The sequence below is a fragment of the Homo sapiens genome, chromosome 1, assembly GCF_000001405.40.
Source record: "Homo sapiens chromosome 1, GRCh38.p14 Primary Assembly".
NCBI lineage: Eukaryota > Metazoa > Chordata > Mammalia > Primates > Hominidae > Homo > Homo sapiens.
Window position 1 is genome coordinate 8,961,377 of NC_000001.11, and position 12,084 is coordinate 8,973,460.

The 12,084-nt window shown below is 47.7% G+C and overlaps 1 protein-coding gene across 6 annotated transcripts in view, besides 1 other annotated feature; it reads left to right on the top strand.

Moving 5' to 3' along the window:
• Positions 1 to 12,084, top strand: part of CA6 (carbonic anhydrase 6) — a 29,225-nt gene that overhangs the window by 15,509 nt on the left and 1,632 nt on the right. For all 6 annotated transcript variants that reach the window (NM_001215.4, NM_001270501.2, NM_001270502.2 and 3 more), the window contains 3 exons: positions 1,211 to 1,280; positions 6,283 to 6,440; positions 9,491 to 9,605. In NM_001215.4, coding sequence (NP_001206.2) covers positions 1,211 to 1,280; positions 6,283 to 6,440; positions 9,491 to 9,605 — 343 coding nt within the window. The remainder of the gene's footprint in view (positions 1 to 1,210; positions 1,281 to 6,282; positions 6,441 to 9,490; positions 9,606 to 12,084) is intronic.
• Positions 1,614 to 1,908: an enhancer, noted in NCBI's record as "tiled region #1652; K562 Activating DNase unmatched - State 25:Art". NCBI's record gives its function as "activates a minimal TATA promoter and a strong SV40 promoter by Sharpr-MPRA in K562 cells {active_cell/tissue: K562}" and the evidence as "EXISTENCE:reporter gene assay evidence [ECO:0000049][PMID:27701403]".

Genomic DNA, 12,084 nt, shown 5'->3' on the forward strand with positions numbered 1-12,084 from the left:
ACTTATAATATATGTAGATATAATGCATATGACAAAAATAGAAGGATGAGGATGAAATAGAGCTCTTTTGAAGCAAAGTTGCTATATTTTACTGAAATTAAGTTAATATTAACCTGACATAGATTGTGATTGAGTTGTATATGGTAATCATTTGAGCAACCACTAAGAAAATAACTAAAAATGATTAAATGGTAAATGAGAAGTATTTGCTTAACACAAAAGAAGGCAGTAAAGGTGGACCAATGCAACAAAAAAGGCACGAGACATCTAGAAAACAAATAGCAAATGCAGTCATAAAGCCAAGAAAGCCAAATTTATGCACAGTGAAAGAGATCAACACCACTTGACTGAAAAGAGCCATTGAAAATAGACCTTTTTCACCCAAAGCAACTTTTCTGACTGTTAAAGTCAATACTCATTCAGAAAGAGTGACCTGGTGTTGGGGGAATTGTAGTCGTTCTGCCTTGGACATCTGGCTCTCTGTCGGAAGTCCTGAGGATGAAGAAGGGAACTTGTGAGATCAAGCCCTCCTCATCACAAAGAATCTGACTGTGGCTGACACTGCCCAAAACAAGTGCACAGACCAGGTGCGGTGGCTCACGCCTGTAATCCCAGCACTTTGGGAGGCCGAGGTGGGCCGATCACCTGAGGTCAGGAGTTGGAGACCCACCTGGCCAACATGGTGAAACCCCATCTCTACTAAAAATACAAAAAAATTAGCCAGGTGTGGTGGTGGGCACCTGTAATCCCAGCTACTCGGGAGGCTGAGGCAGGAGAATTGCTTGAACCCTGGAGGCAGAGGTTGCAGTGAGCCGAGATTATGCCACTGCACTCCAGCCTGGGGAAGAGAGCAAGACTCTTAAAAAAAAAAAAAAACTCACAAACAAACAAACAAAAACAAGCGCACAGGGGACTTTTTTAGAGTAAGAGTTGGCCATTTCTGAGGGCATCACCAATGACTGACAAGCTTCTTTCCCTGGAAGCTGCCAAAATACTTCAGATAATGCCTTTCTGGAAGGACTCATGAACCTGCGTGGTTGGTAGCAAAGAACAGCCAGACTGTCTCTGCCAAAACACAAGACGGCACAGGCTGCCTCTCCTTACTCTCTAGGCTCGGCCCAATCCGCTAGAAAGCTGAGTGGCTGGATTAGTAGCGATGGTGCTGGGGCCTCTTCTTCACTTACGCTCAGTGCTCTGTGTTTCTCTGCAGGTGAAGAATTACCCTGAAAACACTTATTACAGCAACTTCATTTCTCATCTGGCCAACATCAAGTACCCAGGTAAGGGAAGCCAACTGTGGCTGCAGGAGGGAAGGGGAATGAGTGTGAGTGTGAGTGTGAGGTGGGCCCAGGGGGCAGGGGATTGATGCTGGTGGGGAGGGTGGCCCGTGGGCCCTGCCAAGGGAGTCCATCCCTCCCTGTGCCAGGTTACTTGTTCCAGTGATTTCTGCTGTTGGCTTAGGCAGCAAACCTCTCTGAGAAGCCTGTGCATAAATTCGATGTGTCATTTCCCATGATTGGAACTTCTGACTGGAGTTGCACTAAGTAGGCATATCCTTGCTTCGATGACTGTCACCTCAGCTGGCAGTGACAGTCCTGGCAGCTAGAGAGATGTCCACCTGGCTCCAAGCTGAGATGAATGTCAAGAGGGAAGCCCTCGTCATACCACTTGGACATCCAGACACTCGGGGTGTTCTTCCGTCCCCTCTCCTCCAGAGGGCGGCGTTCTTGTAAGAGCCATTTCCCACCCAGGGTCAACCCTTGACTTTTGAGCTATAACCACAATAGCTCTGCATCCTCGACTTCACACGTCCCATTCCGGCCACACCTCCCAGCCTCCCAGTCCTCTGACTTCAGCACCCAGCCCCTCCTGCAATTCACCTGACCGGAGTCCTCCAAACCTGGGGCTTCCACATTCTTGCTCCTAGTGACGCCTGTGTCCTTTCATCTCTCTCCCAGCTTAGATTCCACCCCGATACTCTCAAGTCTCCCTCAACACTCCCATGCAAACACCCTCTAGCCCTCACCCCTCCACCCCTCCACAAACTCACCTGGCAAATCTCCAGACCAACTCTGGAGTTTTTTTAGTTATTTTCTTAGTGGTTGGCTGGCAGCCAAACAGCTGAATGCAACTGGACAGAAATCCATAGACATCTAACTGGTATTATTATCGTTATTATTTTTGAGACATGGTCTTGGTCTGTTGCATAGGCTGGGGTGCAATGGCGCGATCATGGCTCAGTGCAGCCTCGACCTCTGGGACTCAGTTGATCCTCCCACCTCAGCCTCCTGAGTAGCTGGGACTACAGGTGCACCACCATGCTTGGCTGGTTTTTTTGTATTTTCAGTAGAGACAGGGTCTCACCATGTTCTCAGGCTGGTCTTGAACTCCTGGGCTCAAGTGATCTGCCTGCCTCAACTTCCCAAAATTTTGGGATTATAGGCATGAGCCACCACACCTGGCCAACTGGTATTATTTTTTATTCATAGCTACAAATATGAACAGTGCCCAGAAATCCTAAAGTATCACGCTGGGCATTTTCTTTCTGACCTCCCAAATTCCTGTCACATGCTTTCTCCTCTCTCCTGAAGCCCCTGTGCCTGGGCTCCAGCAATTCCCCTGGAGCTGACGCTCCCACTCCCACTCCATTGAGAAGACAGAAGCCACAGGCCAGAAACACTCCGCTCCTTAACCCACGTGCATCTGGACCAAATTCCACATCCCCTCTTCAGCTGCAACGGATGACAAATCCCTGCTCTTGTCAACACCACCCCTCCCACGTGGGGCCCAACCCCACTCCTCTCCCATGCTCAGGGCCTCCTTTCCTGCTATTCTCTCCCTGGTCTTCTGCATCGTTGATTTCTCTCTCTCTCTCTCTTTTTTCTTTTTGGAGATGGAGTCTTGCTCTGTCACCAGGCTGGAGTGCAGTGGCATGATCTCAGCTCACTACAACCTCCGCCTCCCGGGTTGAAGTGATTCCCCTGCCTCAGCCCCCTGAGTAGTTGGAATTACAGGCACACACCACCATGCCTGGCCAATTTTTTGTATTTTAGTAGAGACAGGGTTTCACCATGTTGGCCAGGATGGTCTCGATCTCCTGACCTTGTGATCTACCCGCCTCGGCCTCCCAAAGTGCTGGGATTACACGCATGAGCCACCGTGCCCGGTCTGCATCGTTGATGTCTTACTCTTTATTAAAGCCTCCTGCTCAGCACACACATCTGCCCTAATTCCTCCCACCTCCAAACACAAGCAAACAAACGTTATCTCCTGACCTTACCATTCCCCAGCTTCCCCCAGTTCTCTGGCTCCCCTTGAAAAGGTCATAGAATAGTCCTGTTCTCCATTCTCACCCACCCCACCCTGAGCTGGCCCCAATGCTCCACGGAGCCGGAGTGACGGTCAGATCTATGGGCCACTCTTCTTCTCGTCTTAGTTTACCTTCAAAGGGTGGTCTGGCGCGCCCCAGCTCTGCCCTCTCACTCTCTTTCTGGCTCCTGCCCTAAATGTTGGGTGGAGTCAGGCTCTGTCTCATCTCAGTGACTCCACGCAGTCCCACAGCCTGAATTAAAACTTACCACTTAAGGCTGGGTGCGGTGGCTCACACCTGTAATCCCCTCACTTTGGGAGGCGGAGGCGGGCTGATCACCTGAGGTCAGGAGTTTGAGACCAGTGTGGCCAACATGGTTGAACCCCGTCTCTACTAAAAATACAAAAATTAGCCAGGCATGGTGGTGCACGCCTGTAATCCCAGTTACTCGGAAGGCTGAGGCAGGAGAATCGCTTAAACCCGGGAGGTGGAGGTTGTAGTGAGCTGAGATTGTGTCGCTGCACTCCAGCCTGGACGACAGAGCGCAACAACATCTCAAACAACGACAACAACAACAAACTTACCCCTTAAACCATTTTAAATGTACAGTTCAGTAGCATTAAGAACATTCACAGTATGATGCAACCATCACCCCGCTCCATTGCCGGAACTTTTTTTCGTCTTCCTAAACTGAAACTCTGTACCCATTCAACAGTTACTCCCCATCTCCCCTTCCAGCTTCTGGTAACCACAGTTTCTGTCTCTAAGAATTTGACTATTCTAGGTACCTCATATAAGTAGAATCAAACAGTATTTGTCTTTTTTTTTGGTCTGGATTATTTCACTTAGCATAATGTCTTTTAGGTTTGCCCACATTGTAGCATGTTATCAGAATTTCATTCCTTTTAAAGGCTGAAGTGGCTGGGCGAGGTGACTCACGCCTGTAATTCCAGTACTTTGGGAGGCCAAGGCTGGCAGAGCACTTGAGGTCAGGAGTTTGAGATCAGCCTGGCCAACATGGTGAAACCCCGTCCCTACTAAAAATACAAAATTAGCCAGGTGTTATGGAGGGTGCCTGTATTCCCAGCTACTCAGGAGGCTGAGGCGGGAGAATCGCTTGAACCCGGGAGGCAGAGGTTGCAGTGAGCTGAGATTGTGCCACTGCACTCCAGTCTGGGTGACAGAGTGAGACTCTGCTTCAAAAAAAAAAAAAAGGCTGAAGTATATTCCATTGTGTGGATATATGATATTTTGTGTATCCATTTATCTACTGGTGAACATTTTGGTGGCTTCTACCTTTTGGCTATTGTGAGGTAACGCTGCTATGAATATAGGTGTACAAGTATCTCTTTGAGTCCCTGCTTTCATTTCTTTTGGGTAGATAGGAGTAGAATTGCTGGGTCACATAGTAATCTATGTTTTTTTAATTTTAATTTTTTTTTGTTTTTTGAGACAGAGTCTCGCTGGGGCGGGAGTGCAGTGCCTTGATCTCGGCTCACTGCAACCTCCGCCTCCCAAGTTCAAGCGCTTCTCCTGCCTCAGCCTCCCGAGTAGCTGGGATTACAGGCACGTGCCACCATGCCCAGCTAATTTTTGTATTTTTAGTAGAGACGGGGTTTCATCATGTTGGCCAGGCTGGTCTCAAACTCCTGACCTCAGGTGATCCACCCGCCTCGGCCTCCCAAAGTGCTGGGATTACAGGTGTGAGCCACCATACCTGGCCGTATGTTTATTTTTTGAGGAACTATTATACCATTTTCCGTGGTGGCTGCATCATGATTCTGGAATTCTTGACTTTCACTTAAATATATTAGAGTTACAAAAATAAATCTCTACCACAGAGCCCTTTTGGAGGTTATATCTTGAAATCTTCCAATAATAATCAAACTTAGAACTCTTTTGCCTACTCATGGGCTTATGCACTCTGAGACATTGTGGCCTTGGTTGAACAGGCCTATCTACGTATGTATCAAAACTATGTTCTCTGCCTTTAAGAAGCGCAGAAGTGCTCAGGGAAAGTGAAGCAAAATCCAACTCAATCCTGTGTTGCCTTGAGAGTCTTGTGCTGAGCTCAGGGGCTCAGTGTTGTTGACATGAATGAAACAAGGACCTCTCTAGAGCAGGAGCAGGTGTGGCTGCTGCAGGAGTTTTGCAGGCCTGGTGGAAGTGGCCCCACCCTACGCCCCACCTGTGGCTGGGCTTGGTTTCCAGCGGTTGTGGCAGGAAGAGCTCAGGACCAAATGCCTGTACCTGGACCCTGGCTTGGTTCTGATTCTGCATTTATTATTTAAAAAAATAATAAAAAAAACAACTTATTGTAGAGACGGGGCCTCCCTGTGTTGCCCAGGCTGGTCTTGAACTCTTGGCCCCAAGCAATCCTCCCGCCTTGGCCTCCCAGAGTGTTGAGATTACAAGCGTGAGCCACTGCGCCTGGCCTGATTCTGCATTTACAACTGTTGTCTACCCACTTCTCAATGAGCCCAAACCAAGGCATTTTGGTCTTTCTTCAAGGGCACTTACCCAGAAGTCTCCAGGGGCCATATTTATTTCTTTCATTGATCATAAAATGTGTCCTCTGCCTAGCCATGATAATGGTGACCGCAGCAGTTACACTTAGGAGTACTTCCCTATGTAGTGGTTCAATGCCAGCTGCTTTCCAGACGTTATTCCTTCTTACCCTCACAACAATCCTGCTGATTATTCCCTTTCTACAGATGAGAAAATGGCCGCAGGGTGAGCACCCGGCCAAGAGCACTCAGCCAGGAGCAGGTGTCTGAGTGCGTCTATCCCCAAAGTCTCTCCTCTCAATCCCTTCCAGGAAGAAGTAAACTGGGAAATTGTTTCTTAATCATCAGCTTCTATGTTCTGCTGAACTCAAGAGATTGGAACCTGGCGAGGCCTGGGCCTGAGCTGTCCTCCCGAGGGGCAGCGCTGGTCCCTGACATTCTGTTACCTTCTGTCTTCTTGGTCAGGACAAAGAACAACCCTGACTGGCCTTGACGTTCAGGACATGCTGCCCAGGAACCTCCAGCACTACTACACCTACCATGGCTCACTCACCACGCCTCCCTGCACTGAGAACGTCCACTGGTTTGTGCTGGCAGATTTTGTCAAGCTCTCCAGGACACAGGTAATGTATGGTATCACTTTGCCGAAGTCTTCCCATTCGATTGCCTGGTTAACAAGGGTTCTCCCCAGCATCTCAACGAACGTCAACAACTAAGGGGTCCTACAGTATTTTCTGTGTGCAGGGCTACTGTGCCTCGTCTAGCCAACCTTTTTTTTTTTTTTTTTTTTGTGAGACAGAGTCTCGCTCTGTCACCTGGGCTGGAGTGCAGTGGCACGATCTCAGCTCACTGCAACCTCCGCCTCCCAGGTTCAAGCAATTCTCCTGCCTCAGCCTCCCGAGTAGCTGGGACTCCAGGAGTGTGCCACCACGCCCGGCTAGTTTTTATTTTTAGTAGGGACAGGGTTTTATTATGTTGCCCAGGCAGGTCTCAAACTCCCAGGTTCAAGCAGTCTGCCTGTCTCAGCCTCCCAAAGTGCTGGGATTACAGGTGTGAGCCACTGCACCCGGCCATCTCCTTTTCTTAAACTTTTCATTTCCTTAGAAAAAGGTGGAAAAGACCCCTGCTCAAGGACACTCACACTCCAAAATGTTGCCAGTCAGGCTAGAAGTGCCCCCAGACACCTGACAAAAGCAAATGGTAAATTATCTCTGGGAAAATGACCTTAAATCCAGACCTAGAAGAATTTTCACAAATAAAGTTACTTGAAATTAGCTCAATTAAGAAAAAAAAATACAAAACATATGAGAAAAAAAGACATTATAGATGAGAACCAGCAGAATCAGACCTACAAAGACTTCAGTTAGTGGAATTATCAGACAATTAATATGACATAAGAATGTTTAACATGTATAAAGAAATAAAAGGTTTAAATATGAGAAAAGAGCAAAAAAGTATAAAAATGGACATCCAGACTTGGGACAAAAACTCAAATAGAATTTCTAGAAATGGAAAAATAGTATCAAAAATTAATAATCCAGGCCAGTTGTGGTGTCTCATGCCTGTAATCCCAGCACTTTGGGAGGCCAAAGTGGGTGGATCACCTGAGGTCAGGAGTTTGAGATCAGCCTGGCCAACATGGTGGAACCCCGTCTCTACTAAAAGTACAAAAAATTAGCCAGTCGTGGTGGTGGGGCGCTTGTAATCCCAGCTACCCCAGAGGCTGAGGTGGAAGAATCACTTGAACCTGGGACGTGGAGGTTGCAGTGAGCCAAGATTGCACTACTGCACTCCAGCCTGGGCAACAGAGCAAAACCCTGTCTCAAAAAAAAAAAAAGTTTGCTGGGCACGGTGGCTCAAGCCTGTAATCCCAGCACTTTGGGACGCCAAAGCGGGTGGATCACGAGGTCAGGGGTTCGAGACCAGCCTGGCCAACATGGTGAAACCCTGTCTCTACTAAAGATACAAAAAATTAGCCGGGCATAGTGGTGTGAACCTATAATCCCAGCCACTCAGGAGGCTGAGGCAGGAGAATCGCTTGAACCCAGGAGGCGGATGTTGCAGTGAGCTGAGATCATGCCATTGCACTCCAGCCTGGGCAACAGGGCAAGACTCCATCTCAAAAAAACAAAAACAAAAACCCAATGAATGGGTTTAACGCATGTTAGATACAGTTTGAGAGAGAATTAGTAAATTGGAGACAGCCAATAACATTATCTAGAATGCAGCACAGAGAAAAGGAGATGGAACTATGAAAAGAAGTGAAGAGACATTGTGTACTGGAAAGGTCTAGTAAATGTCTAATCAAAATCCTAGAAGGAGAAGAGAGGCAGAGTAGGGAAGAGGCATGATTTGACAAAATATTGGCTGACAATTTTCAGGAAGAGATACCAAGTCATATATTCAAGAATGCCAATTAGTTTCTCTCTCTGTCTCTCTCTCTCTCTGGGTGTGTAGATATGTGTGTGTGTGTATACACAACATCCTGCAGTAAACGCATCACATTGAAATCATCAAAGACAAAGAAACTATTTAAAAATTAGCCAGAAAGAAAAGACAGATTATCATGAAAAGAGTATTATTAGACAGAGAGTTGATTTAACAGCCACAGTGAAAGTCAGAAGGGAGTGGAAACATAATTTCAAAGTGCCGAGGGAAAAAAAATAGCCAATATAGAATTGTATGTGCAGCAAAGATGCCTTTCAAGGATATAGACAAAATACAGACATTTTCAGGTCAGGTGAGGTGGTTCATACCTGTAATTCCAGCACTATGGGAGGCTGAGTGGGCGAATGGCCTGAGGAGTTTGAGACCAGCCTGGCCCACATGGTGAAACCCCATCTCTACTAAAAATATAAAAATTATCTGGGTGTGTGGGTGGGTGCCTGTAGTCCCAGCTAGTCAGGAGGCTGAGGCAGGAGAGAATAACTTGAACCCGGGAGGTGGAGGTTGCAGTGAGCCGCAATCGCGTCACTGCACTCCAGCCTGGCGACAGAGCGAGACTCTGGTCTCAAAAAAAAAAAAAAAAAAAAAAGAGAAAAACCTGACATTTTCAGAAAAACAAAAATTGAGTTTGCCACTTGATATATTTCTGCTTCTTCTTTCTCTCCTTTCTACTACTGGACAAATACTCATATAAAAAGCTGAAAAGAGAGCTTGTGTGCAGATACCTGTTGGAAGAATGCACGGATAGATTAGTTCTGGAATAATGCCTGAGACACAGCACCCAGAACCTCCCCTGGACTTGAGATCTTCTTACAGTCACTTCATCAGGGTTATATAAATCCAAACTCTAGCCCAGTTGTTAATTCTTTTTTATTTTTTATTTTTTTTGAGACAGAGTTTCTCTCTGTCTCCCAGGCTGGAGTGCGGTTGCGTGATACTGGCTTACTGCAGCCTCTGCCTCCCAGGTTCAAGCGATTCTCCTGCCTCAGCCTCCTGAGTAGCTGGGATTACAGGTGCACACAACCATGATCAGCTAATTTTTAGTAGAGAAGAGGTTTCACCATGTTGGCCAGGCTGGTCTCCAACTCCTGAGCTCAAGTGATCTGCCCGCCCCAGCCTCCCAAAATGCTGGGATTACAGGCGTGAGCCACTGCGCCGGGCCAACTGTTATTTCTTTTAAATTACCCAGTGACTCTTCCCCTCCATAATGCACTCACGTTGCCCCCAGGTTTGGAAGCTGGAGAATTCCTTACTGGATCACCGCAACAAGACCATCCACAACGATTACCGCAGGACCCAGCCCCTGAACCACAGAGTGGTGGAATCCAACTTCCCGAATCAGGGTGAGTGAGACCGACTCTTGATCATGCTCTGCAGTTTAACTCCTGTTTTGCTCCTTCCTCTAGGTGGACCCATCTCTTCTGGTGATATAAGGGAAGGAGAGTCATTTCAGTAGCAAGAGGCTCAGGTGGGCCAAGCTGCACAGGGCTTGGGCAGAGGGTGATGACTTTTTCCCAGTCCAGGCAGGGATGCCAGTGAGTAGAACACACGAGACAATCAGAAGCGACAGCTACGTGATTTATTACCTACCTAGTCTTGGCTAGAGAGAGCAGGAGAAGCAAGAAGACCACAACATCCGGAAGCTCTCACAAGAGTGTAGGTTCAAGTTAACCTTTTTTTTTTTTTTTTTTGAGACAGAGTCTCACTCTGTCACCCAGGCTGGAGTGCAGTGGTGCAATCTCGTCTCACTACAACCTCTGCTTCCCGGGTTCAAGCAATTCTCCTGCCTCAACCTCCCCAGTAGCTGGGACTACAGGCACCTACCACCACGCCCGGCTAATTTTTTTTTTTTAACTGAAATGGGGCTTTGCCATATTGGCCAGGCTGGTCCCAAACTCCTGACCTCAGGTGATCTGCCCACCTCGGCCTCCCAAAGTGCTGGGATTACAGGCGGGAGCCACCGTGCCTGGCCAAGTTAACCTTATTAACCCCACCCAGATTATTTCCTGCGCATCTTGATCATAGTCTGTGTTATGAACCCACCCCCAACGCCTCCTATACATTCTCTCAAAGTGGAGTTAACTAGACCACATATTGTTCCCTGCATCTGCCTGGGGCGCAGGCCCCAGACCCCAGCGTGCTGGAAGCAGGTGCGGGCAGGCCAGCCTCCGCTGCATCCTCCAGTTCCTTGGATCAGGCTCCAACCGTGTCCTTGGCTCACCTCGTTTCTGTGTTGGCAAGAGTGTAAATATTTCACAGCCTCCTCATCTTTATTTTGTCTGCTTTCTGTAAAGTTGTGGTGAATCCATTGTCTTTACAGCCCATTCTGTTAACCATTCCTGATACCTTTATATTTTCCAATACAGTAGAATCAGTATCCTATCAATATTGTGTACTCAATATTATCCCACTTTTTTTTTCTTTTTTGAGACAAGGTCTCAGTCTGTTGCCCAGGCTGGAGCTCAGTGGCACAATCACGGCTCACTGCAGCCTCAAACATCCAGGCTCAAGTGATCCTCCCACCTCAGCCTCCCCAGTAGCGGAGACTGCAGGCACACACCACCACACCCAGCTAATTTTTTTTGTAGTTTTTGTAGAGATGGACTCTTACTATGTTGCTCAGACTGGTCTCAAACTCCTGGCCACAAGCAATCCTCCCCCCTCAGCCTCCCAAAGTGCTGGGATTATAAGCACGAGCCACCTCGTTCGGCCTTATCCCATCTTTATATGTACCTTTTAAAACTTAAATTTCCTCCGGGTGTGGCGGCTCACGCCTGTAATCCCAGCACTTTGGGAGGCTGAGGCGGGCAGATCACGATGTCAGGAGATCGAGACCATCTTGGCTAACATGGTGAAACCCCGCCTCTACTAAATATACAAAAAATTAGCCAGGCGAGGTGGCGGGCGCCTGTAGTCCCAGCTACTGGGGAGGCTGAGACTGGGGAGGCTGAGTAGCTGGGCATGAACCCGGGAGGCGGAGCTTGCAGTGAGCCGAGATTGCGCCACTGCACTCCAGCCTGGGCGACAGAGAGAGACTCTGTTTCAAAAAACCAAAACAAACAAACAAACAAAAAAATTAAATTTCCACCTCCCCAACCCGAATAAGGCCTATTTGTGATTTTCTCCCCACCTTTCCTTCCTGGTTCACTTACTGAATTAACAGAGGATATAGGTGTTTTCTATATTGTTTCCTGAAATACAATTCACTCCTCCAATACAATACTAACAGAAGAAAAAAACTGACATCAGTTACAGTAATCATTTCCCCATATTATACCATATACAACATTAACAGCAAGAATCCCTTTGTCCGAAAGTGATGTCGTCTTTAACAGGTCCAATTGCAAGCAGGCTGACCAAAGGGAGCTTAGACTCATGGGTCTGTCTCCTAATTCTTTTGGAGTCTCTCACTCTGTCGCCCAGGCTGGAGTGCAGTGGTGCAATCTCATGGGCTCACTGCAACCTCCGCCTCCCAGATTCAAGCAATTCTCCTGCCTCAGCCTCCCAAGTAGCTGGGATTACAGGCACGCGCCCCCACGCCAGGCTAATTTTTGTATTTTTAGTAGAGATGGGATTTCACCATGTTGGTTAGGCTGGTCTTGAACTCCTGACCTCAGGTGATCCGCCTGCCCGGCCTCCCAAATTGCTGGGATTACAGGTGTGAGTCACTGTGCCCGGCCTGTCTCCTAGGTCTAAATGTTGCCATATTTCCCCTGCTTTCCCTAAAACAATTTTACGCTATTCTTGCAATAGTCACTAACAGACTGCGTATCGTTCTATTTGCCACATCTGAAATGCTTTTTCCACTACAGCGTCACTCTA